Source organism: Homo sapiens, chromosome 17 (assembly GCF_000001405.40).
Source record: "Homo sapiens chromosome 17, GRCh38.p14 Primary Assembly".
Classification (NCBI taxonomy): domain Eukaryota; kingdom Metazoa; phylum Chordata; class Mammalia; order Primates; family Hominidae; genus Homo; species Homo sapiens.
Genome location: NC_000017.11, coordinates 59864034 through 59891713, shown reverse-complemented (window position 1 = coordinate 59891713; position 27680 = coordinate 59864034). Strand labels below are relative to the sequence as shown.

At 45.5% G+C, this 27680-nt stretch overlaps 1 protein-coding gene and 1 pseudogene across 11 annotated transcripts in view; one reads left to right on the top strand and one right to left on the bottom strand.

Annotated features, from left to right (window-relative positions):
• TUBD1 (tubulin delta 1) overlaps positions 1-27680 on the top strand; it is a 33465-nt gene that overhangs the window by 1230 nt on the left and 4555 nt on the right. For 2 of the 11 annotated variants that reach the window (XM_017024716.3, NM_016261.4), the window contains exons 2-7: positions 673-883; positions 5484-5631; positions 10604-10820; positions 13380-13611; positions 17011-17175; positions 24965-25105. In XM_017024716.3, the coding sequence (XP_016880205.1) occupies positions 712-883; positions 5484-5631; positions 10604-10820; positions 13380-13611; positions 17011-17175; positions 24965-25105 (1075 nt within the window). In that variant the 5' untranslated portion in view covers positions 673-711. Of the gene's footprint in view, positions 1-672; positions 884-5481; positions 5632-6957; positions 7054-10603; positions 10821-13379; positions 13612-17010; positions 17176-24964; positions 25119-27680 lie in introns of those variants that run through there. The other 9 variants (XM_047436200.1, NM_001193609.2, NM_001193610.2 and 6 more) reach the window with 8 other exon arrangements.
• On the bottom strand, positions 6065-6716 carry NDUFB8P2 (NADH:ubiquinone oxidoreductase subunit B8 pseudogene 2; annotated as a pseudogene).

Below are 27680 nucleotides of genomic sequence, written 5' to 3'. Positions count from 1 at the left end.
TACAGGTGTGAGCCACGCACCCAGCCTCTTTTTTTCTTTTATCACTCCTCAACTGAGGAGAATGTTTTGTTTTAAACATATGTTTAGGAAAAAAGTGATTACAAATCAGATTTTGGAAACTATTGAGCTGTGTATGAATGGATTCAGGTACAGTAAATCACAAATCCCAAAACCATGTAGAGAGTATGAGAACTTCCTTGAATGACTAGCTCCTTAGACAACACAGCTGTTCTATCTCCAATATTATATACGTATGTGGCATTTTAAAATGACTTTTTGGGCCGGGCGTGGTGGCTCAAGCCTGTAATCCCAGCACTTTGGGAGGCTGAGGTAGGTGGAGGTGGATCACGAGGTCAAGAGTTCAAGACCAACCTGGCCAACATGGTGAAACCCCATCTCTACTAAGAATACAAAAATTAGCCAGGCGTGGTGGCACGTGCCTGTAATCCCAGCTACTCGGGAGGCTGAGGCAGGAGAATCGCTTGAACCTGGGAGGCGGAGGTTGCATTAAGCCGAGAACATGCCACTGCACTCTAGCCTGGGTGACAGAACAAGACTCCGTCTCAGGGGGGAAAAAAGACTTTTTATTGATGTATAATTAACATACATGGCATTTTATTTGTTCTTATTAGTAATGTAGTGGTTCTCAAAGCGTATTTTTTTCGATTACAGGTTGTTTTTAGAGGTAATACACCTAGTTTGTGGCTCAGCATGTCAATTGTAACAGTGCAACTTGGTCAGTGTGGCAATCAGATTGGTTTTGAAGTTTTTGATGCTTTGCTTAGTGACTCACACAGTTCCCAGGGACTCTGCTCTATGAGAGAGAATGAGGCATATCAAGCATCTTGCAAAGAAAGATTCTTCAGTGAGGAGGAGAATGGAGGTAGGTGTGGCCCACAGTCCTCTCCTTTACTCTGATCTAACCAACCCCTTCAAAGCCAGGCCTTCCACATGGTTTTTAAACCCCATTCCTTCCCATCTCACTAGGGAATTACTTTGTTTTTGCTTTTCATTTCTATGTTAATAATCTTTGCTTTTCCAGTGGCATTTTCCCTTCTGCATGCTCAGATCTCACCAATTTAAAACCAACCAAACAAAACTCATCTATTGACTGGCTTTCTTCTTCTTATCTCTTTGCCTTTCATCTAAGATTCTCAAAAGAGGACCCTGCTGGCTGGGCGTGGTGGCTCACGCCTGTAATCCCAGCACTTTGAGAGGCCGAGGCGAGTGGATCACAAGGTCAGGAGTTCAAGACCAGCCTGACCAACATGGTGAAACCCCATCTCTACTAAAAATACAAAAATTAGCTGGGCGTGGTGGCATGTGCCTGTAATCCCAGCTACTCGGGAGGCTGAGGCAGGAGAATCACTTGAACCCAGGAGGCAGAGGTTGCAGTGAGCCGAGACCGCACCACTGCCCTCCAGCCTGGTGACAGAGCGAGACTCCATCTCCAAAAAAAATAAAAGGACCCTGCTTAACCACCTATGATCCTGCTTCTGCCCCACATAGCATCATTGAAGCTGCTCTAAGAAAAGTTTCCAGTGACCTCCGAATCACCAGATCCAACTACTGTTTTTCTTTTCTTTTTTTCTTTTTCTTGTAGAGACAGGTTCTTACTACACTATGTTGCCCAAGCTGGAGTGCGGTGGCTATTCACAGGTCTCCTGAGTAGCTGGGACTGCAGGTGCATGCCACCATGCCTGGCTCTTTCTTTTCTCTGTCTCTCTTTTTTTTTTTTTTTTTTTTGAGAGAGTCTCGCTCTGTCACCCGGGCTGAAGTGCAGTGATGTGATCTTGGCTCACTGTAACCTCCACCTCCCGTGTTCAAGCAATTCTCCTGCCTCAGCCTCCCAAGTAGCTGGAATTACAGGTGCCCACGACCATGTCTGGCTAATTTTTGTATTTTTAGTAGAGACAGGGTTTTGCCATGTTGGCCAGGCTGGTCTCGAATGCCTGATCTCAAGTGATCCGCCTGCCTTGGCCTCCCAAAGTGATGGGATTACAGGCTCTCTTTCTTTTTCTTTTTCTTTTTTTTTTTTTTTTTTTGAGACAGAGTCTAGCTCTGTCACCCAGACTGGAGTGCAGTGGTGCGATCTTGGCTCACTGCAACCTCCGACTACCAGGTTGAAGCAATTCTCCTGCCTCAGCCTCATGAGTAGCTGGGACTACAGGCATGCGCCACCACGCCCAACTAATTTTTTTGTATTTTTAGTAGAGATGGGGTTTTACCATGTTGGTCAGGCTGGTCTCGAACTCCTGACCTCAAATGATCTGCCCACCTCAGCTTCCCAAAGTGCTGGGATTACAGGCGTGAGCCACTGTGCCCAGCCTCTCTTTCTTTTCTTAATTCACTTTACTCCTCTACTGCGTTTGATAACAGTAACGTATAAAAACTCTTTCCAGCAGGGCGCAGTGGCTCACGCCTATAATCCCAGCACTTTGGGAGGCCAAGGCAGGCAGATCACTTGAGGTCAGGAGTTAGAGACCAGCCTGGCCAACAGGGTAAAACCCCGTCTCGACTAAAAATACAAAAATTAGCCGGACATGGTGGCACATACCTGTAATCCCAGTTATTCGGGAGGGTGAGGCAGGAGAATCACTTGAACCCGGGAGGGGGGTTGCAGTGAGCCGAGATCTCGCCACTGCACTCCAGCCTGGGAAATAGAGCGAGATGCCGTCTCAAAAAAAAAAAAAAAAAAAAAAAGCCAGGCATGGTGGCTCATCCCTGTAATCCCAACACTTTGGGAGGCCGAGGTGGGTGAATCACCTGAGGTCAGGAGTTCGAGACCAGCCTGGCCAACGTGGTGAAACCCCATCTGTACTAAAAATACAAAAATTAGCCGAGCGTAGTGGTGCGTGCCTGTAATCCCAGCTACTTGGGAGGCTGAGGCAGGAGAATCGCTTGAACCCGGGAGTCGGAGAGTGTGCCATTGTACTCCAGCCTAGGTGACAAGAGCGAAACTCCGTCTCAAAAAAGAAAAAAAAAAGACAAAAAACAACTCTCTCCTTGAACCTCCTTCTCCTAGTCACCCCACTTTTCTTCTCCAGTTGTTGCATCTCCCCTGTCCTCACTTGCATAGTTCTCTCTGGGCAACTTCACTGTCATAGTTTGCTACATTTATTACACCTGTGACTTTCAGACCTCTAGCCCAGCCTCTCTTAAAAGCTCTAGACAGATTAGTGGATATCTCCACCCACATCTCTCATATGAACCTGAAACTCAACATCTCTATTCCCAAGGCATTCATTATTGTTCCTTGTGCTCTTGCTGCATACATACCATCAAACAAGATCTGCTTATTTGACCTCCTATATACTCCTTGAAACTGTTCTTCCCTTTCCACCTTCACTGACTTGCTTTAGTCTGGCTTTTGTTCTTTCTTACCTGGACTGTCTCAAGACACTCCTTTTAGGATTCCTTGCCTGGAGTCTACTGTCTATCACATCCATCCTCCGTACTGCTGTGTTTAAAAAGACATCGGCCGGGTGCAGTGGCTCATGCCTATAATCCCAGCACTTTGGGAGGTCGAGGCGGGCGAATCATGAGGTCAGGAGATCGAGACCATCCTGGCTAACACAGTAAAATCCCGTCTCTACTAAAAATACAAAAAAATTAGCCAGGCGTGGTGGCGGGTGCCTGTAGTCCCAGCTACTTGGGATGCTGAGGCAGGAGAATGGCGTGAACCCAGGAGGCGGAGCTTGCAGTGAGCTGAGATCGCACCACTGCACTCCAGCCTGCGGGACAGAGCGAGACTCCATCTCAAAAAAAAAAAAAAGACATCTAACAGCTGGGCACAGTGTCTCACTGTAATTCCAGTGTTTTGGGAGACCAAGGTGGGAGGATTGCTTGAGGCCAGGAATTCAAGACCAGCCTGGGCAATAGAGCAAGATTCTGTCTCTAGAAAAAAAAACAATAAAAATTAGTTAGGTGTAATGGCACACACCTGAAGTCCCAGCTACTTAGAAGGCCAAAGTGGGAGGATTGCTTGAGCTCAAGAGTTTGAGGCTGCAGTGAATTATGATTGACAGACATTTAACTATTCCTCGCCTGCTTGAAAATTTTTGGTGGTTAATCATGGCCTAAAAGATAAAGTTCAGGCTTTTCTAGCATTGCCTATAAAGATTTCCAAGATTGAGCCCTACCTGCTTTTCATCCCCATCCATCACTTCTACCCTCTCCTTCTCCATCCTCTGCTCCAACAATTCTGAGCTGGATGTTGTACCCATGGTACTTTGTACCTCTAAATATGATGTTCCTTTGGTGTGGATTTATTTGGTCATATCACGTTGCAGTGTGATTAAGTATTGATGTATTTATCTTTCCCACAAGTCTTTTTTTTTTTTTGAGACAGAGTCTCACTCTTGCCCAAGCTGGAGCACAGTGGTGTGATTGCAGCTCATTGCAACCTCTGCCTCCTGGGTTCAAGCAATTCTCGTGCCTCAGCCTCCTGAGTAGCTGAGATTACAGGCACACGCCACCAAGTCTTGCTAATTTTGTATTTTTGTTTTTTGTTTGTTTGTTTGTTTTGAGACAGTGTTTTGCTTTTATTGCTCAGGCTGGAGTGCAATGGCTCAATCTTGGCTCACTGCAACCTCCACCTCCCGGGATCAAGCAATTCTCCTGCCTCAGCCTCCGGAGTAGCTGGGATTACAGGAGCCTGCCACCACGCCCAGCTAATTTTTTGTATTTTTAGTAGAGATGGGTTTTCACCATGTTGGCCAGTTTGGTCTTGAACTCCTGACCTCAGATGATCCGCCCGCCTCGGCCTCCCAAAGTGCTGGGATTACAGGTGTGAGCCACCGCACCTGGCCAATTTTGTATTTTTAGTAGGATCGGGATTTCACCATGTTGGCCAGGCTGGTCTCCAACTCCTGGCCTCAAGTGATCCACCTGCCTCAGCCTCCCAAAATGCTGGGATTACAGGCATGAGCCACCACGCCCAGCCTCCCACCTGCCCTTTCTAAGGCTAGTTTGATGTCTTCATCTCCAAATTCCCAGCACAGTCCATGGCACATCATAAGCATTCAGCATATGTTTGTAGACCTGACCCAGGTACTCTTTTTTTTTTTTTTTTTTTTTTTTTTGAGACAGAATCTCACTCTGTCTCCCAGGCTGGAGTGCAGTGGTGCAACCTTGGCTCAGTGCAACCTCCGCCTTCCAGGTTCAAGCAGTTCTCCTGCCTCAGCCTCCCGAGTAGCTGGAATTACAGGCACATGCCACCACGCCGGCTAATCTGACCCAGGTACTCTTTTAGGCCCACACTGATTCAGCCTGCTTAGCAAATGCTGGGCTTGGTGAACATCTGCATATGCCTGCTGCTGCCCACTGAGATTTCTAAGCAGTACGACAGATCTTTCTAACCACAACCCCTGGAATTTTTTTTTTTTTTTTGGATTTGGACACTTAGATGCTCTGAGTTACCCAAATAAGACATAATAAATCTTTTTTTCTTTCGATGTTTTTGGGTTTTTTTCCCCCTCTAGTTCCAATTGCCCGGGCTGTTCTTGTTGACATGGAACCCAAAGTTATCAATCAAATGCTGTCAAAGGCTGCCCAGTCTGGCCAATGGAAATATGGTCAACATGCATGCTTCTGTCAAAAACAAGGTTCTGGAAACAACTGGGCATATGGGTAAGAATAATTTCTTGTGATTTTCAGTTTAGTGACAGCTACACAGTCAATTAATAGATAGCAAAGTTAGAACTGTATAGTTGATATACCAAGCACATAATCTTGAAATTGCTGTTTTAGATTTAGAATTTTATTTTACCCAGAAGAAACTTTCATTCCATGCCTATGTCTGTACTTAAGGTACAGGTAATGTTGAAATGAAGGATATCTTTCAGCAGGGTTTTCCATCTTCTCACTGTCATGCTGCAAACTAACTTACCAATGTAATGTCCATATCTGGCAGATATCTCAATGATAGAGAATACTACAAGACAGTAGTTCCCAAACTTTGCTGCACATTAGAATTTCCTGAGGTTCTTTGGAAAAGTCCTGATGCCTAGGGCTCACTTTGAGAGATTCTGATTTTTGTTTTGTTTTGTTTTGTTTTTTTAACCACAGCACTGAGTTTTATTAGGGATTTCATTAAGGTTAAATTTCTAGGAATGAGGGAATCCTAGTTAGAGGGCACAAAAGCCCACGAAGCCTCCTCAGATCTAGTAGTGAACCACCGACTCAGGTTCTTTGGAGGGATCACCGCCTCGTTCCAGGTACAGATTATTGTAAGGATACTGCTTTGGTCCCACGGGCTGGTAGACAGGGTACATATCCCCCACCCAGAACATGAATATCATGAGAGCCATGAAGCCGAACAGCTGCATACACATGACATTCCAAGAAACAGGTGTGGGGGACATATTCCTGGTATACATGTCTAGCTGCCAGTGCATCGGTTCACCCCAGTTCAATCTCAGGTCCAGCTGGTCCCAGCTATACCATGGATCCCTCTCATGCAGGGAGCTTTGGGTAGTCGCCATACCCCATGTCATCATCCGGGTAAGGCTCGTAGTCTCCCACACACATGTTATACTTCTTGAGGGCAGTGGCCTGTCCTTTTGGCGTCCTAGGATAGGACCCTGAGAGCATGTCATTGGTTATGCGGGAGGCTGTCCTTGCGCCCAGCGGCACCACTTTCTGGGATGCCCTTTGCATCCACTGGACTCCCAGGACCCTGGCCCTGGCCACTGCCATCTTCACCTTCACATTTCCCTTCTGCTGAGATTCTGATTTAAGTGGTTTGGGGTAAAGCCCTGATGTTGGGTTTTTGGTGTTTTTTTTTTTAAGAGACAGAGTCTCGTTCTGTCACCCAGGCTGGAGTGCAGTGGCATGATCTCGACTCAGTGCAACCTCCATCTCCTGGGTTCAAGCAATTATCCTGCCTCAGCCTTCTGAGTAACTGAGACTACAGGTGTGCACCACTATGCCCAGCTAATTTTTGTATTTTTTTAGTAGAGACAAGGATTCAGCATGTTACCCAGACTGGTCTGGAACTCCTGGCCTCCAGTGATCCACCTGCCTCGGCCTCCCAAAGTGCTGAGATTACAGGTATGAGCCACTGCACCCAGCCTGATGTTGGGATTTTTTATTTTTTTGAGACGGAGTCTCGCTCTGTCGCCCAGGCTGGAGTGCAGTGGCGCAATCTCAGCTCACTGCAACCTCTGCCTCCCAGGTTCAAGTGATTCTCCTGCCTCAGCTTCCCGAGTAGCTGGAATTACAGGTACCTGCCACCATGCCCAGCTAATTTTTGTATTTTTTAGTAGAGACGGGGTTTCACCAGTTTGGCCAGGCTGGTCTGGAACTCTTGACCTCAGGTGATCCACCCGCCTTGGCCTCCCAAAATGCTGGGATTACAGGCGTGAGTCACTGCGCCTGGCCTGATGTTGGGATTTTTTAAAGGTCCCTAGGTGACTTTAATGTGCAGCAAAATTTTTTTTTTTTTTTTTTAAGACAAGAGTCTTGCTCTGTTGCCCAGGTTGGAGTGCAGTGGTGCAATTTCGGCTCACTGCAACCTCTGCCTCCCGGGTTCAAGTGATTCTCCTGCCTCAGTCTCCCGAGTAGGTAGGACTACAGGCACATGCCACCACGCCCGGCTAATTTTTGTATTTTTAGTAGATACTGGATTTCCCTATGTTGGCCAGGCTGCTCTCAAACTCCTAACTTCAAATGATCCACCCACCTCCGCCTCCCAAAGTGCTAGGATTACAGGCATGAGCCACTGTGCCCAGCCATGTGCAGCACAGTTTGAGAACCACTGTTTCAGGACTGTTAGGAATATTAAATGTTATACTGTATCATAAACTTGTAGAACTACCTGGTATCAAAACTTGTAGAACTACCTGGTACCTACCAGGTAAAGGAATGGCCACTACTCATGCCTGTAATCCCAGCAATTTGGGAGGCCAAGGCAGGAGGATCGCTTGAGCCCAGGAGTTCAAGTCCACCCTAGGCAACAAAGGGAGGCCCTATCGCTACGAAAAAATTTTAAAAAGAAATTAGCCAGGTGAGGCCAGGCACAGTGGCTCACGCCTGTAATCCCAACACTTTGGGAGGCCAAGGTGGATCACTTGAGGTCAGGAGTTTGAGACCAGCCTGGCCAACATGATGAAACCCCATCTCTACTAAAAATACAAAAATTAGGCCTGTTGCAGTGGCTCACGCCTGTCATCCCAGCACTTTGCGAGAGGCCGAGGTGGGCAGATCATCTGAGGAAAGGAGTTTGAGACCAGCCTGGCCAACATGGTAAAACCCTGTTTCTACTAAAAAATAGAAAAAATTAGCTGGGCGTGGTGATGGCTGCCATCCCAGCTACTCGGGAGGCTGAGGCAGGAGAATCGCTTGAACCCAGGAGGCAGAGGTTGCAGTGAGCCAAGGTCACACCATTGCACTCCAGCCTGGGCAACAAGAACAAAACTCCATCTCAAAAAATATTAAAAAAAAAAAAAATTAGATGGGTGTGGTGGCCTGTGCCTGTGGCCTTAGCTCCTTGGGAGGCTGAGGCAGAAGAATCACTTGAACCTGGGAGGCAGAGGTTGCAGTGAGCCGAGATTGTGCCACGGCACTCCAGCTTGGGCAACAGAGTGAGACTCTGCCTCAAAAAAAAGAAAAAAGAAATTAGCCGGGCGGCTGGGTATGGTGGCTCTCGCTTGTGATCCCAGCAGTTTGGGAGGCCAAGGAGGGCGGATTACTTGAGGTCAGGACTTTGAGACCAGCCTGGCCAACATGGTGAAACCCTGTCTCTACTAAAAATACAAAAATTAGCTGGGCGTGGCGGCCTGTGCCTGTGGTCCCAGCTACTCGGGAAGCTAAGGCAGGAGAATCACTTGAACCCAAGTGGCAGAGGTTGCAGTGAGTAGAGATCATGCCACAGCACTCCAGCCTGGACAACAGGGCGTGTCTGCATCTCAAAAAAAAAAAAAGAAAGAAATTAGCCAGGGATGGTTACATGCTCTTGTAGTTCTAGATACTTGGGAGGCTGAGATGGGATAATTTTTTGAGCCTGAGAGGTCAAGACAAGGCTGCAGTGAGCTGTGATTTTGCCACTGCACTTCACATTTCACTCCAGCCTGGGTGACGGAGTAAGACCCTAACTCAAAAAGGAAAAAAGATGTGGGATGGGGGGTGCCAGGTGCCGTGGCTAATACCTGTAATCCCAACACTTTGGGAGGCTGAAGTGGGCAGATCATTTGAGGTCAGGAGTTTGAAACCAGCCTGGCCAACATGGTGAAACCCTGTCTGTACTAAAAATACAAAAATCAGCCGGGTGTGGTGGCGCGCACCTTTAATCCCAGCTACTCGGGAGACTGAGGTGGGAGAATCACTTGAACCTGGGAGGCGGAGGTAGTTTTAGTGAGCTGAAATGGTGCCACTGCACCCCAGCCTGGGCGACAGAGCGAGACTCCGCCTCAAAAAACACAAAAACAAAAACAAAAAAAATAAAAAAGGAGAAAATAGCCTACAAAAGAGAGCTTTTAGAGGAAGATTAAAAGAAGTTGCTCACTGGGCTCAGTGGCTCATGCCTGTAATTCCAGCGCTTTGGGAGACTGAGGCAGGAGAATTGCTTGAGGCCAGGAGTTCACAACCAGCCTGGGCAGCATAGTGAGACCCTGTTTAAAAAAAAAAAAGAAGTTGCTAATGGGTACAAAAATACAGTTAGAAGAAATACACTCTAGTATTCAATAATACAGTTAGGAAATTATAGTTAACAATAATTTATTGTATATATCAAAATAGTAAAAGCGGCCAGGCGCAGTGGCTCACACCTCTAATCTTAGCACTTTGGGAGGTTGAGGCAGGCTGATCATCTGAGTTCAGGAGTTTGAGACCAGCCTGGCCAACATGGTGAAACCCCGTCTCTACTAAAAATACAAAAATTAGCCTGGTGTGGTTCGGGCATCTGTAATCCCAGCTACTCAGGAGGCTGAGACAGGAGAATCTCTTGAACCCGGGAGGGGGAGTGAGCCGAGATCGCGCCATTGTACTCCAGCCCTGGTGACAAGAGTGAAACTCTGTCTCAGAAAAAGAAAATAGCTTAAAGAGAAGAATTGTAATGTTCCCAACACATAGAAAAAATAAATGTTTGAGGTGATAGATATCCCATTTACCCTGATTTGATCATTACACATGTATACACATATCCAAATATCACATGTACCCCCAAAATAAGTACAGCTATGAAAACCCCAAATATTAAAGTATCTGATTAAAACCTCAAAAATAAAGAGAACTTTCTATACTCTGTAAATTCCCTCTGCTAGCAGTCCTGTTCGCCTGTTAACCCATTTATGCCAGAGGTTGCAATTTTTTAAATTTTTGCATGAGTGAAAAATCCGACCTTAGCAATAACCTTGAGCAATAGGATATAAATAACTCCCACATGCTTAGCGTTCCAATAATGGAACACTAGGCATAAGTGGGTTAAATATATTCAACTTATGTATTTAAAATTTTGTCAGTCAGGGTACCTGTACCTTTCATGAGAGTTCCTTCACTTCCGTAGTTTTGAAAAAACCTCTCTATCCTGTATCTTTCTCTCTGAATTACATATCTGTGGTTAAATTGAAAAGTGTTTGTGTTTGTTTCTTTTGCCATTGCATAGTTACTCTGTTCATGGACCCAGGCATGAAGAATCTATAATGAACATAATCCGGAAGGAAGTGGAGAAATGTGACTCTTTCAGTGGTTTTTTCATCATAATGAGTATGGCTGGGGGCACAGGATCAGGATTAGGAGCTTTCGTTACACAGAATTTAGAAGATCAGTACTCAAACTCATTGAAAATGAATCAGATTATTTGGCCTTATGGAACTGGTGAGGTATGGACATGTTAATTGAAAAGTTTATGTTTTATGTTCTTTGCAATAGAAATAAATATGGGTAAAAGATTGCTCTCACCACCCAGGTGCGGTGGCTTATGCCTGTAATCCCAGCACTTTGGGAGGCCAAGGCGGGCGGATCGTGAGGTCAGGATATCGAGACCATCCCGGCTAACATGGTGAAACCCCGTCTCTACTAACAATACAAAAAATTAGCCAGGCGTGGTGGCGGGCGCCTCTAGTCCCAGCTACTCGGGAGGCTGAGGCAGGAGTATAGCGTGAACCCATGAGGCGGAGCTTGCAGTGAGCCAAGATCGCGCTACCGTACTCCAGCCTGGGCAATAGAGCAAGACTCCGTCTCAAAAAAAAATAAATAAATAAAAATAAAGATTGTGCTCACCCTTTCATTGGAAATGTTAAGTTATGGCTTCCAGAATGGTTATTTAATATGAGTACCATATTATATATGGTATATATATATCTTCCCTTAAACTTTTCCAAACAGATGAGGTATCCTTGCATTTAAAATTTCAGAGAGGCTGGGTGCAGTGGCTCACGCCTGTAATCCCAGCACTTTGGGAAGCCAAGGTGGAAAAATCATGAGGTCAAGAGATCGAGACCATCCTGGCCAACATGGTGAAACCCCGTTTCTACTAAAAATACAAAAATTAGCTGGGCATGGTGGCGCTGGCCTGTAGTCTCAGCTACTCAGGAGGTTGAGGCAGGAGATTTCGCTTGAACTTGGGAGGCAGAGGCTGCAGTGAGCTGATATCCCGCCACTGCACTCCAGCCTGGCGACAGAGCGAGACTCCATCTCAAAAAAAAATTTTTTTAAGAGAATGGCTGGGCGCAGTGGCTCACACCTGTAATCCCAGCACTTTGGGAGGCCGAGGCGGATGGATCACCTGAGGTCAGAAGTTCGAGATCACCCTGGCCAACATGGAGAAACACCATCTCTGCTAGAAATACAATTATTAGCTGGGTGTGGTGGCACACACCTGTAGTCCCAGGTACCTGGAGGCTGAGGCAGGAGAATCTCTTGAACCCGGGAGACAGAGGTTCCAGTGAGCCGAGATCAAGCCACTACACTTCAGCCTGGGCAACAAGAGCAAGACTCCCGTCTTAAAAAAAAAAAGAAAAATTTTTTTTCAGAGAATGGCCAGGCAGTTGGGGCTCACTTCTGTAATACCAGCACTTTGGGAGGCTGAGATGGGCAGATCACTTGAGGCCAGGAGTTTAAGACCAGCCTGGCCAACATGGCGAAACCCCTTCTCTACTAAAAATACAAAAATTAGCCAGGTGTTTTGGCTCCTGCCTGTTGTCCCAGCTACTCGGGAGGCTGAGGCAGGAGAATCACTTGAACCTGTGAAGCAGAGGTTGCATTGAGCCTAGATCATGTCACTGTACTCCAGCCTGGGCCACAGAGCAAGACTCTGTTTCAAAAAAAAGTCAGAGAAGATGATTGTGCTTCTTTCAGGAACTGATTGCTGAGAATGTCTCTCACTCCAGTACATAAAGCAGACACCTTGACCTCATGTTGGGATTCATGGTGCCATTGCCACCCTCAAGTAATTTTTATTTCTTTCCATTGGGAGAAAATTTCTTTCCTTTTTTTTTTTTTTTTTGAGACAGAGTTTTGCTCTTGTTGTCCAGGCTGGAGTGCAATGGCACGATCTTGGCTCACCGCAACCTCCGCCTCCCGGGTTCAAGTGATTCTCCTGCATCAGCCTCCCGGGTAGCTGGGACTACAGGCATGCGCTCGGCTAATTTTGTATTTTTAGTAGAGGTGGGGGGTTTTTCCATGTTGGTCAGGCTGGTCTTGAACCCTCAACATCAGGTGATCCACCCACCTCAGCCTCCCAAAGTGCTGGGATTACAGGCATGAGCTACCGCTCCCAGCTTGAAAATTTCTATATAAGCCAATTTCCTGTTGATCAACCTAGCTGAAGAAACAAATCAGGTGAGACAAGTCACTATAGGAAATGAAATAGGAGATAAGTATGATAATAATGGCCAATTTTTGTTGTGCCCATACAAGGCATTGTTCTAAGTGTTTAACTTGCATTATATCATTAATCCTTACAGTTCTAGGAAGCCATTACAAATGAGGAAACTGGTTGGGCTCGGTGGCTCACGCCTATAATCCCAGCACTTTAGGAGGACAAGGGGGTGGATCACTTGAGGCCAGGAGTTTGAGACCAGCCTGGCCAACATGGTGAAACCCTGTCTCTACTAAAAACACAAAAATTAGCTGGGCATGGTGGCACAAGCCTGTAATTCCAGCTGCTCGGGGCTGAGACACAAGAATCTCGAACCGGGAGGCCGAGGTTGCAGTGAGCAGAGATGGTGCCACTGTACTCCAGCCTGGGCGACAGAGTCTCTATCTCAAAAAAAAAAAAAAAAAGGAAACTGAGCATAGAGATTAAAAAACTTGTCCAAGGTCATACGGCTAGAAAGTGACAGAGCCCGGATTTGAACCCTGCCAGGATGCCTTGAGAATCTGTAATCTTAACCATTATTCTCTCCTACCTTTCTTTTTTCTGACCTTTTCCTCTCCAGGTTATTGTTCAAAACTACAACTCCATTTTGACACTTTCTCACTTGTACCGATCTTCAGACGCCCTCCTTCTTCATGAGAATGATGCCATCCATAAGATCTGTGCAAAACTGATGAATATCAAGCAGATCTCCTTTAGTGATATCAATCAAGTCCTCGCACATCAGCTGGGAAGTGTGTTCCAGCCTACTTATTCTGCAGAAAGCTCATTTCACTACAGACGAAATCCACTAGGTATTTGTCCCTCTATACGTTAATTATAGGAAAGCCTTATGTTCTGAAAGCTTCAAAGTTTATTCTTTCTGTCTCCTCCTCTGCCTGAAGATACACTTAAGTCTTGCTCATCTCAAAACCCTTTCTTCACATCTGCTAGTTCTCTGAACTGTCTTATTGAAAAGCTTTGAGAAGTTGCTAAAGGGCAGTGGGTATCCACTGCTCTTCAGGATTCTTTCTCTTCTTTTTTTTCTTTTTTTAATAGAAACCATGTTGAGATATAACTCACCTAACATGCAATTCACCCATTTAAAGTGTGCAAGTCAATGATTTTTTTTTTTTTTTTGAGACAGAGTCTCACTCTGTTGCCCAGGCTGGAGTGCAGTGGTACGATCTTGACTCACTGCAACCTCTGCCTCCTGGGTTCAAGCAATTTTCCTATTTCAGCCTCCTGAGTAGCTGGGACTACACTACACTATAGGCACGTGCTACCATGCCCAGCTGATTTTTGTATTTTTAGTAGAGACGGAGTTTCACCATGTTGGCCAGGCTGGTCTCAAATGATCCACCCGCCTCGGCCTTCCAAAGTGTTGGGATTACAGGCGTGAGCCACCGCACCCGGCCCTAGCCTTTTCTTAAGTACAGCAGCCAGACTGAACTCTGGCTTTGCAGTTTTTAAAAGCATAAGTCAGATCCTGTTGCTCCCCTTTTCAGAACCTTCCTGAGGTTTCCCATCTCATCCAGAGTTGTCAATGTGCGCGTCAGCATTGTGTTTGGTGATTGGGAATTCAAAGAGGTCCGAGTCTGCCATGTGGCATGACTTTCCGTAGTTGTGCTCTGACAGAGAAGGTGAGGAGCAGGGTTGGCCGAAGACTGGGATTTTGCCAGAAAGAGGAAGACTGATTGATTGAAAGGCAGGTGCTCCATGGATTAAAGTCTCAAGGAGGTTTAAGAATGGTCAAGGTGGCCAGGCGTGGTGGCTCACGCCTGTATCCCAGCACGTTGGGAGGCTGAGGAGGGTGGATCACCTGAGGTCAGAAGTTTGAGACCAGCCTGGCCAATACGGTGAAACCCCAGCTCTACAGAAAATACAAAAATTAGCCAGGCATGGTGGTGGGTACCTGTAATCCCAGCTACTCAGAAGACAGGCAGGAGAATTGCTTGAACCCATAAGGCAGACGTTGCAGTCAGCTAAGATTGCACCACTGCACTCCTGCCTGGGCGACAGCGAGACTCCATTTAAAAAAAAAAAAAAGAATGGTTAAGGTAAGAGTAGCTGAACAAGAAAGCTGGAAGGGAGAACAGATTGCAACAATTAGTGATTCATGCATTGGCCGGGCACCATGGCTCACTTCTGTAATCCCAGTGCTTTAGGAGGCCAGGGTGGGAAGATCGCTTGAGGCCAGGAGTTCGAAGCCAGCCTGAGCAGCATAGCAAGACCTCATCTCTACTAAGAATTTAAAAAGTGGCCGGGTGTGGTGGCTCATGCCTGTAATCCCAGCACTTTGGGAGGCCAAGACGGACAGATCACCTGAGGTTGGGAGTTCGAGACTAGCCTAAGTAACATGGCGAAACACTGTCTCTACTAAAAAAAATACAAAATTAGCCAGGCATGGTGGCACATGCCTGTAATCCCAGCTACTTGGGAGGCAGAGGCAGGAGAATTGCTTGAACCTGGGAGGCAGAGGTTGCAGTGAGCTGAGGTCATGCAATGCACTCCAGCCTGAGCAATAAGAGCGAAACTCCATCTCAAAAAAAAAAAAACAAAAAAAAAACAAACAGTTAGGCATGGTGGTGTGCACCTATAATCTCAGCTACTAGGGAAGCTGAAGTGGGGCTATTGCTTAAGCCTGGGAGTTCGAGGTTGCAGAGCTTTGATTGCGCCACTGCACACCAGTTTGGACAACAGAACAAAACACTGTCTAAAAAGAAAAAAAAAAGAATTCATGCCTTAGTGCTCATGAATTATTTTCTGACTATTCTATATTTACTTGTGCTATGCAATAGAATTCAACTCTAGGTATTTTACAGAAAAGAATTCTACATTTAGAGGACACTCCATTAGCACAAGCCCGCCTGTGTAGCATCTTATAGATGTTTGTGTCAAAATTTGTTCTTTTCTTTAGGATGTACATTATGAGTTTGTACTCAGTGTTATAAAGTTTGTTTCATATTATGGTAATATATTTTTCCCTATCCTCAAGGTATTTTCTATAAACATATGAGACAGCTGTAAATGTAAAGGAAAGTACCCTTTCTCCTTAATTCTATTTCATTGTAAATACAAGTTTCTAAAGATAGGCACATTCCTATCTTAAGGAATATCTAATCTTGTCTTCTTTCCAAATAGAGTTTCATGTTAACTTTTTTTTTTTTTTGAGACAGAGTCTTGCTTTGTCGCCCAGGCTGGAGTGCGATGCACTGCAACCTCTGTCTGCCGGGTTCAAGCGATTCTCCCGCCTCAGCCTCCCAAGTAGCTGGGATTACAGGTGCCTGCCACAACGCCTGGCTAATTTTCATATTTTTAATAGAAACAGTGTTTCTATTAAGACCAAGACCATGTTGGCCAGGCTGGTCTTAAACTCCTGACCTCATGATCTGCCCACCTAGGCCTCCGAAAGTGCTGGGATTACAGGCGTGAGCCACCGTGCCTGGCTTATATTAACTTTCATGTTAACAGGGTTTGATTATCACCTAACCAGATACGGTATGTAAAAATCTAGTAACATTTCTAAAAGAGTATTTAGTAGGGTGGGTGCGGTGGCTCACACCTGTAATCCCAGTACTTTGGGAGGCCAAGGCAGGCAGATCATGAGATCAGGGGATCGAGACCATCCTGGCCACCATGGTGAAACCTCATCTCTACTAAAGTACAAAAAGTTAGCTGGGCTTGGTGGTACGTGCCTGTAGTCTCAGCTACTCAGGAGGCTGAGACGGGAATCGCTTGATCGTGGGAGGCAGAGGTTGCAGTGAGCCGAGATCACGCCACTGCACTCCTCCAGCCTGGCGACAGAACAAGACTCCATCCCAAAAAAAAAAAAAAAAAAAAAGAATATAACAATATTTAGTGAACATAGAATGACAAGAAAAGCATATCAGTTCTCATGTTTACTTTGTTTGCCTGGAGTTTACCTAAATATTTCATTCACATTTCCAGTTATTCAGCTTCTAAATTGTAGTTTGCTTTTTGGCAAAGTGTATTTTCTCACTCATGCTCAAGTCAGTGCTAAAATGAAGCAAAGAGGTGGTGTGTAATAGACATTGTCTCTGAAATTGTATTTATATTAAAGATTAAATAATTCTGGTCTGAGAAGAGAAAAAACATTTGGCCCAGAAAACCTTCAAATCATGGTTATATATAGACTATTGGCAACAATGTAGAATAAAAAAAAATTAGTTCAGATTTTTTTTTCTTTACAGGAGACTTAATGGAGCATTTAGTTCCCCATCCTGAATTCAAGATGCTGAGTGTTCGTAACATTCCTCACATGTCTGAGAATTCATTGGCATACACCACATTTACTTGGGCTGGCCTCCTCAAGCATTTGAGACAGATGCTCATTTCTAATGCAAAGATGGAAGAAGGTAAAGAGTAGTCCAAAAATATGCAGCCCACAAGCTGGAAAAAATGTCTGTCCTGGAGTCTCAATATAAACTGGCTTGGACCAGTTTAAATAATGGTCCCTTTTTCTGGCTAGAGAGACTCCGGCAGAAACTCACCAGGACATCTTAGGAGGGTTTCTTAATCACTTCACAGTTTCATTACCAAAAGACATTTCAAATGAGTGCCAGATTTTTTTTAAATTTTTATTTTAATCAAATAAGTGAACATAGTTTTAAAAATCAAGTAGCCAAAACTCATTTAAATATATACTTAAATCCATACATTGCACTGTATTTAAATTATATCTCAATTTTTTTTTTTTTTTTTTTTTGAGACTGAGTCTTGCTCTGTCGCCCAGGCTGGAGTGCAGTGGCGTGATCTCAGCTCACTGCAACCTCCGCCTCCCGGGTTCACACCATTCTCCTGCCTCAGCCTGCCGAGTAGCTGGGACTACAGGCGCCTGCCACCACGCCCGGCTAATTTTTTGTATTTTTAGTAGAGACGGGGTTTCACCGTGTTAGCCAGGATGGTCTCAATCTCCTGACCTCGTGATCCACCCGTCTTGGCCTCCCAAAGTGCTGGGATTACAAGAGTGAGCCACCGTGCCCGGCCAATTATATCTCAGTATTTTATTTTTTATTTATTTTATTTTTTTGAGATGGAATCTCGCTCTGTCACCCAGGCTGGAGTGCAGTGGCGCGATCTCGGCTCACTGCAACCTCTGCCTCCCGGATTCAAGCAGTTCTTCTGCCTCAGCCTCCCAAGGAGCTGGGATTACAGGCGTGTGCTACCATGCCTGGCTAATTTTTTTGTATTTTTAGTAGAGATGAGGTTTCACCATATTGGCCAGGCTGGTCTCGAACTCCTGACCTTGTGATCCACCCACCTCGACCTCCCAAAGTGCTGGGATTACAGGTATGAGCCACTGCGCCCGGCCTATATCTCAGTTTTTTAAAAGGTCAAGTAATGGGCCAGGTATGGTGGCTCATACCTATAATCCTAGCACTTTGGGAGGCCAAGGCAGGAGAAGCGCTTGAGCCCAGGAGTTCGAGACCAGTCTGGGCAACATGGCAAAACCCCATCTCTACAAGAAATATAAAAAATTATCTGGACATGGTGACATGGGCCTGTATTCCCAGCAACTTAGGAGGCTGAGGTGGGAGGATCACCTGAGCCCAGGAGGTCAAGGCTGCAGTGAGCTGTGATCACACAACTGCACTTCAGCCTGGGTGACAGAGTGAGACCCTTTCTCAAAAAAAAAACAACAACAAAAAACAACTTAAGTAATGTCTGGTATGAATTTATGACAAGGAAAAACAGCAATCCTACACCTCCCCATTACACAGATGAAACTACTTTCAACGTCTAGCTATTTCATCTACAATTTGCCTCCATAGTTATAAATGTCTTACTTATATTGTTATCTCTTGCATTCCTAGTGTGAAAATTGAGAATTGGCCTGGGCGCAGTAGCTCACGCCTGTAATCCCAGCACTTTGGGAGGTTGAGGTGGGTGGATCACCTGAGGTCAGGAGTTCGAGACCAGCCTGGGCAACATGGCGAAACCCCTTCTTTACTAAAAAATACAAAAAAATTAGCCGGGCGTGGTGGCAGTCGCCTGTAATTCCTGGGAAGCTGAGGCAGGAGAATTGCTTGAACCCGGGAGGCAGAGGTTACAGTGAGCTATGATAGTGCCATTGCATTCCAGCCTGGGTGATAACAGTGAAACTCCATCTCAAAAAAAAAAAAAATTGAGAATTGAATCATCTTACACCCCCTCTACACACACAGACACACACACACACACACACACACACACACACACATTCCCATTTTCATATATATACTGACACATGTGCACACTCACACACATACTCACACATACAAACACAATTACCTTCATTCTTCTAACATACTTGGGAGTTAGATCAGTTTTCAATGTTTGTACTACTTTTGCTATCTAAATATTATTCAGAGTAGAGCCTTGTGTACATAGATTATATTTTTTTGTGTGTACAGTTTATTTTTCCCTCCTGGAGTTGTTAATCATTATATTTATTCAGTTGATATTTTCTGTACCTATTACCAACTTATCCTGAAACTTTTCTGTAAAAAAATGAATCCCTTCTCAGATGTGATGGCTCACACCTGTAATCTCAGCACTTTGGGAGGCTAAGGCAGGAGGATCGCTTGAGGCCAGAAGTTCAAAACTAGCTTGAGCAACAAAGCAAGACCCCATCTCTAAAAAAATAATTTAAAAAAATTAGCTGGCCCGGCAGGGTGGCTCACGCCTGTGAGCCAGCACTTTGGGAGGCCGAGGCGGACAAGTTCAGAAGATCGAGACCATCCTGGCTAACACGGATGTAGTAGAAACCCCATCTCTACTAAAAATACAAAAAATTAGCGAGGCGTGATGGCACACACTTGTAATCCCAGCTACCCAAGAGGCTGAGGCAGGAGAGTGGCTTGAACTCAGGAGGCAGAGGTTGCAGCGAGCTGAGATCACACCCCTGCTCTCCAGCCTGGGCAACAGAGCGAGACTCTGTCTCAAAAAAAAAAATGCTGGGCATAGTGGTATGCACCTGTAGTCCTAGCTACTTGGGAGGGTGAGGCAGGAGAATCCCTTGAACCAAGGGATTTGAGTTTAAAATGAGCTGTGATCATGCCACTGCACTCCAGCCTGGGCAACAGAGCAAAACCCTGTCTCAAAAATAAAAAAAAAGAATTCTTTCTTAATATGTTTAAACCCATCAGGTAAGTGATTACTTCCATTATCTGCCTAGAGACATCTTCTGGAAGGCATTTATCTTCCCATTCCATTCTGGACTGACTGCTCTCTAGGCTTGATAAGCAGCCAGCCCTGGCATCTCTGCTTGCCTCATCCTGATTTATATCTGTACCTCCTAGATTTCAAATCTGCTTTCTTGATTTATTCCCTCATATTGATGGACCATACCTTTCAGGAGCTCCCTAAGAGAGTACAAGGAAATTAAAATGTTTGAGGCTACAAATATCTTCATTCTGGCCGGGTGCAGTGGCTCACACCTGTAATCCCAGCACTTTGGGAGGCCAAGGCAGGTGAAACATGAGGTCAGAGATCGAGACCATCCTTGCTAACATGGTGAAACCCCGTCTCTACTAAAAATACAAAAAATTAGCCAGGCATGGTGGCGGGCGCCTGTAGTCCCAGCTACTCAGGAGGCTAAGGCAGGAGAATTGCTTGAACTTGGGAGGCAGAGGGAAGTTGCAGTGAGCTGAGATCGTGTCACTGCACTCCAGCCTCGGCGACAGAGCGAGACCCTGTCTCAAAAATAAATAAATATCATAATTCTGTTCTGCCATTGCATTTGAATGATAGTTTGGCCAGGGATAGGATTCTAGGTTGGGAATCATTTTCTTTTTACTGAGTATTTCGAAGCCATTGCTCTATCATCTTCTCACTTGCAGCGTTGCTGTTGAGAAGTCTCAGGTTGTTCTGATTCCCAATCCTATTTTGTTATCTCTTGAAGCTTTTAGGATTTTCTCTTTGTCCCCAGCATTCTGAAAGTACTTGACATGGGTCTTTGGTTTATCTCAGTAGAAGGTAAGCTTTATTTAATCTATTTGGTTTACTGTTGCATCTTTGGAGCCTGGAACGGTAAACGCTCAGTGATTATTTGCTGAGTTAGTTGCTCCGGGCACTGAATGGACCCTTACGGACATTGCAGACTTGTGTGGGTTTCACAGTAAGGTGATCTGCCTGGCCATTTTATTGCTGGACTTCCAAATATCATACTCAGCGTATCTTATCTCTTGATCAGTTGCTTCCTCCTCCATCTCTTTCCTGAAGGCATGATAAGCCTGGCTGCCAGCCTTTTCAGAGCTGGACGGGGAAGACATGGACTGTTACACTTTCCTGCGAAAGCTGCTACTTCGTGACCTGGTTTTCCAAAGGTTCTCTACAGGGCTGTGCCAGGTGTCACTGAGGCCAGAGCCTCCCAGGTTTAGCCTTTTCACAGCAGAAACCTTCTAGGGTGGAAGAGCGCACTCCTCCTACTGCAGGGAGTGGGGAAGGGGCTCTCACTGCTTCTCAAATAGATTTTTAGTTAATCCTCCTGTATTTTTACACTTTGATTTTTTTTTTTTTTTTTTTTTTTTTTTTTTTTTTTGTGAGATGGAGTCACACTCTGTCGCCTAAGATGATGCAGTGGCATCATCTTGGCTCACTGCAACCTCCACCTCCCAGGTTCAGGTGATCCTCCCACCTTAGTCGGAATTCCAAGTAGCTGGGATTACCAATGTATGAATGTGTACTACCACACCTAGCTAATTTTTGTATTTTTAGTAGAGATGGGGTTGTATCATGTTGGCCAGGCTGGTCTTGAACTCCTGACCTCAAGTGATCCACATGCCTCAAATTCCCAAAGTGCTGGGATTACAGATATAAGCCACCGTGCCCAGCCTTTTTTTCACTTTGAAAAGTGTCTGGTCTACTTCCAGGACCTCAATTGTGGGCAAAATTTTTAGCTTTTTCTTGTTGTGCAGTCAGTAACCATTTGCTCTCCAGCTCCAAAATTTTGTTGCTGTTATATTCTCTCCTGTTCCTTTTTTTCTTGTTTGTGCTTATCCTTTTAGTGATTAAGCAGGATCTGGAGAGAGAGTGGCAGGAAACTGATATGCTCAGTCTGTCATGTGTAACTAGAAATCACTACTAGGTATTAATAGCATATATTATACCACAAATTAAGTTAGGCTTTTATACTATGAGAGTAGATTTTCTCAACATTTATTTGTAATATCTTACGGATTTTAGATTATAGTGCCAGAGGTTTGGAGATAAGTAGAAAGTTTACATGTAAAAATAGTGCTTCCTGAATTTTTTGGCCATAGTACCTGTTTTTCGAGCAATACCTGTTAATACCACAAGGAACACAATGTTCCTTAGAGTCATGTGAGACATGCTGCTCTGAGCTCTCTTAGGTCAATAAACCACAGTTTGCTGAGTTCCCATGTGGAACTTTTAGGGTGTCAACATTTTTTCTTTTTTCTTTTTTTTTTTTGGCGGGGGGGACAGAATCTTGCTCTGTCACCCAGGCTGGAGTGCAGTGGCGCGATCTTGGCTCACTGCAACCGCTGCCTCCCAGTTGAAGCGATTCTTTTGCCTCAGCCTCCCAAATAGCTGGGACTACAGGTGCGCACCACCATGCCCGTCTAATTTTTGTATTTTTTTAGTAGAGACGGGGTTTCACCATATTGGCCAGGCTGGTCTTGAACTCCTGACCTTGTGATTTGCCCGCCTTGGCCTCCCAAAGTTCTGGGATTATAGGCAGAAGCCACCATGCCCGGCCGGGTGTCAGCATTTTTTCACAGTTGTATAGTTTGAACATATAAATGTTTTCATACACATGTATGAATAGTATATGAATAAATATATATATATGGCACAAACCAGGTTGAAGGATCTAGTTTTATAACTCTTCATATATTCTTTGCTCTGTGGGAAGATTTTGTTTTGTTTTGTTTTTGAGATGGGGTTTCACTCTGTCACGTAGGCTGGAGTGCAGTGGCGCAATCATAGCTCAATGCAGCCTCAAACTCCTGGGCTCAAGTGATCCTCCTATCGCAGCTTCCTATAGCTAGGACTACAGGTGTGTACCACCATAAGTGACTAATTTTCTTATTTATTTATTTATTTATTTATTTTTTGAGATGGAGTCTCGCTCCGTCGCCAGGCTGGAGTGCAGTGGCGCAATATTGGCTGACTGCAACCTCCGCCTCCCGGGTTCAAGCGATTCCCCTGCCTCAGCCTCCTGAGTAGCTGGGACTACAGGCGTGTGCCACCACGCCCAGCTAATTTTTGTATTTTTAGTAGAGATGGGGTTTCACCATGTTGGCCAGTATGGTCTCGATCTCTTGAACTCGTGATCCCCCCCCTCTGCCTCGCAAAGTGCTGGGATTACAGGCATGAGCCACTGCACCTGGCCTAATTTTGTTATTTCTTTTATTTTTGTAGAGATGGGGTCTGACTATGTTGCCCAGGCTAGTCTTGAACTCCTGGTTTCAAGTGATCCTTCCACCTCAGCCTCTCAAAGTGCTGGGATTACAGGCATGAGCCACCGCGCCTGGCCTCTACGTAAAGATTTACCCTATTTCTCTCACCATCAGTATCTGTTTCTGCATGTTCTACCATTAGGGAGAATATGTGATCCAGGAGGGAGCAAGGCAGAAGTTAATGCCTTTTTTTTTTTTTTTTTTTTTGACATGGAGTCTTGCTCTGTTGCCCAGGGTGGAGTGCAGTGGCATGATCTTGGCTCACTGCAGCCTCTGCCTCCTGGGTTCAAACGATTCTCCTGCCTCAGCTTCCCAAGTAGCTGAGATTATAGGCACCTGCCACTACACCCAGCTAATTTTTTTTTTTTTTTTTTTTTTTTTTGTATTTTTAGTGGAGATGGGGTTTCACCATTTTGGCCAGGCTGGTCTCAAACTCCTCACCTCAAGTGATCCGCCTGCCTCAGCCTCCCAAAGTGCTAGGATTACAGGCATAAGCCACCATGCCCAGCCTTGAAGTTAACACCTTTTGTGACCTTTTGTGATGTTATTTCTGCAACATCCTTTTGGTTAAGGTCAGCCCTCTCCAGTGTGAGAGCATACTGCCCAAGGGCTTGAATACCAGGAAGCAAAGATGATTGGGGTCATTTTGGAGGCTGACTACTGTTCTCTGCGCTGTCCCTAAGTCATGTCCTCCCACATGCACAGTACACTCCTCCCCTCCCAAAGCCCCCAAAAGTTACATCCCATTAGCACATCGGTCCAAAATCTTATCCTCCAAAAGCAGCATGGATTTATACTCCTCAAGTGGTATTTCTCGCACTGTCACCCAGGCTGGAGTGCAGTGGCAGTATCACGGCTCACTGTAGCCTCGACCTCCTGGGCTTAGGCAATTCTCCCCACTCAGTTTCTCAAGTAGGTGCATGCCACAGATGCCAGACTAATTTTTTTAAGAAGCAGAGTCTGCTATTTTGTCCAGGCTGGTCTCGAACTCCTGGACTCAAGAGATCCTCCCAGCGCAGCCTACCAAACTGCTGGGATTACAGGCATGAGCCACCACACCCATCCTAAGATTTCTTGAGTATAGCCCTTTGAGTACAATTTTTTGCCCCAACAAAGTCTAGTGGAGTAGGCATAGGAGAATTGGTAGACCCTCCCTTTTAAACAGGAAAAATGATGCCTATAGTCCCAGCTACATCAGAGGATAAGGCGGGAGGATCATTTGAGCCCAGGAGTTTGAGGCTGCAGTGAGGTATGATCACACCTGTGAATAGCCACTGCACTCCAGCCTGGGTGACATAGCGAGAGACCCTGTCCAAAAAAAAAACCTAAAATACACATACCACAAGACCATTTTTCTCCTCTTGTTCAAAGCCATTTATAAAATCTCTTGCTTTTGGGCTGGGTGCAGTGGCTCACGCCTGTAATCCCAGCATTTTGGGAGGCTGAGGCAGGCAGATCATTCGAGGTCAGGAGTTCGAGACCAGCCTGGCCAGCATGGTGAAACCCCGTCTCTACTAAAAATACAAAAAAATTAGCTGGGCGTGATGGCACACACCTCTAATCCTGTCTAGCCAGCTACTGGGGGAGACTGAGGCAGGAGAATCGCTTGATCCTGGGAGATGGAGGTTGCAGTGAGCCAAGATCATGCCACTGCACTCCAGCCTGGGCAACAGAGTGAGACTCCATCTCAAAAAACTAAGTAAATAAAATAAAACCTCTTGCTTTTTTTTTCTTTTGGTAGGTATTGATAGGCATGTATGGCCTCCTTTATCAGGACTTCCTCCTCTTAGTAAAATGTCTCTCAACAAGGACCTGCATTTTAACACTTCCATTGCTAACTTGGTCATTCTTCGTGGGAAAGATGTGCAAAGTGCAGATGTGGGTAAGAAATTCAGGTGAAAATTAAGATTTACATTTTGTACCTGTACATGCTATATGGTACAAATGGTTTTTAAAAAGTCCCTGTGTTCTTGGAGAAAGGAAAGTAATAACTGTGTGTTTTAGTGGCAAAATTTGACCATGGCATCAGTTAGTATGTGACTAGACACCAATATAGAAGTGGTTTAAACAAGATAAAAGTATAATTCCTTTAGCCGGGTGTGGTAGCACACGCATGTAGTCCCAGTTACTTGGGAGGCTGAGGCAGAAGGATAGCTTGAGCCTAGGAGGTCAAGGCTGCAGTGAGCCATCATTATGGCACTGCCCTCCAGCCTGGGCAGCAGAGCAAGACCCTGTCTCTATTAAAAAAAAAAAAAAAAAGAATTGTTTTCTGAACATCTGGCTGCCCTGTCACCCTTACTTTACCATCTGGCTGCCTCCTTATAGAAATGAGCAGAGAAGGACCTGCCTCCTTTCCTTTTTTTTTTTTTTTTTTTTTTTTGAGACGGGGTCTCACTCTGTTGCCCAAGCTGGAGTGCAGTGGTGTGATCTTGGCTCAGTGCAACCTCCGCCTCCCAGGTTCAAGCAGTTCTGCTGCCTCAGCCTCCTGAGTAGCTGAGATTACAAGCAGATGCCAGCATGCTTGGCTAATTTTTGTATTTTTAGTAGAGACGGGGTTTCTCCATGTTGGCCAGGCTGGTCTCAAACTCCTAACCTCAGGTGATCTGCCCACCTCAGCCTCCCAAAGTGTTGGGATTACAGGCGTGAGCCACTGCGCCCAGCTAGGCTTGCCTCCTTTTCTCAAAGTCACATATCACACTTGAATTTCTGTCCCATTGACTGGTACTGAGTTCTGTGACACACCTCACTGCAAGTTCAGTTAAAGTTTAGGGGAATTGATACTAAGGAAGAAGGGGTGAACGGGAATTGCTAAGGAGCAGGAATTGCTGGACAACCAGTGGTATCTGTGAAAAGCATTTTGTTACAAATTTTTCAGGAAGTTGAAAGAGCATTATTATTCTTGTGTGTGTGTGAGACAGAGTCTCACTCTGTCACCCAGGCTGGAGTGCAGTGGTGTAATCTCAGCTCACTGCAACCTCTGCCTCCCAGGTTCAAGTGATTCTCCTGCCTCAGCCTCCCAAGTAGCTGGGATTATAGGCATGCGCCACCATGCCCGGTTGATTTTTTTATTTTTAGTAGAGATGGGATTTGACCATATTGACCAGGCTGGTCTCAAACTGCAGACCAGGCTGGTCTCAAACTGCAGACCTCAAGTGATCCACCTGCCTCGGCCTCCCATAGTGCTGGGATTACAGGTGTGAGCCACTGCGCCCAGCTGAAAGGGCATTATTCTTACTAGCTTTGTTTTTCTATGGCAAGTTTCCAGGTTCATTTTATCATGACTTCAGCAAGTATCATGTTTGCTACTTCTTGTTGTGATGCAAAGAAAACCAAGGCCCAGCACAGTGGCACGTATATGTAATCCCAGCACTTTGGCAGGCTAAGTCAGGAGGATCGCTTGAGGCTAGGAGTTCGAAACCAGCCTGGGCAACATAACGAGACCCCATCTCCACAAAGAATTTTAAACTTTAGCCAAGTATAGTGGTGCACACCTGTAGTCCCAGCTACTAGGGAGACTGAAGCAGGAGGATCACTTGAACCCAGGAGTTTGAGGCTGCAGTGACCAATGATGGTGGTGCTACTGTACTCCAGCCTGGGCGACAAGAGTGAGATCCATTATCAAAAAGAAAAAAGAAAACCGAACAATCTAGTCCCTGTAATGCCCCTTAGAGAAAGAACAAATAATAATTTAAAATAGGACCAGTCACAGTGGCTCTCACCTGTAATCCCAGCACTTTGGCAGAGGTGGGACGATTGCTTGGGCCCAGAAATTTGAGACCAGCTCGGGCAACATAGTGAGACCCCATCTCTACAAAAAATAAAAATATTAGGCATGGTGGCGTGTGCCTGTAGTCCCAGCTACTTGGGAGGCTGAGGTGGGAGGATCACTTAAGGGCAGGAGGTGAAGGCTGCAGTGAGCTGTGATAGTGCCTCTGCACACCAGCCTGGTGACAGACCAAGATCCTGTCTCAAAACAAAACAAAACAAAACTGGCAGTATATTATTTTCGAATAAATGATCCATATTCATTGTACAGAAAAGAAAGGGACCAGTGCAGTGGCTCATGCCTATAATCCTAGCACTTTGGGAGGCTGAGGCAGGTGGATCACTTGAGGCCAGGAGTTCGAGACCAGCCTGGCCAACATGGTGAAACCCCATCTCTACAAAAAATACAACAATTAGGCAGGCATGGTGGCGGGCATCTGTAATCCCAGCTACTCAGGAGGCTAAGGTGGGAGGATTGCTTGAGCCCAGGAAGTAGAGGTTGCAGTGAGCCAACATCATGCCACTGCACCCCAGCCTGGGCAACAGGCTGTCTCAAAAAAAAAAAAAATTAGTAATAATTCACACCTTTCAGAAAAGTGTTAAGAAGAATGCACACCACCATGTACAGCTAATATTTTTTATTTTTAGTAGAGATGGGGTTTTACTGTGTTGCCCAGGCTGGTCTCGAACTC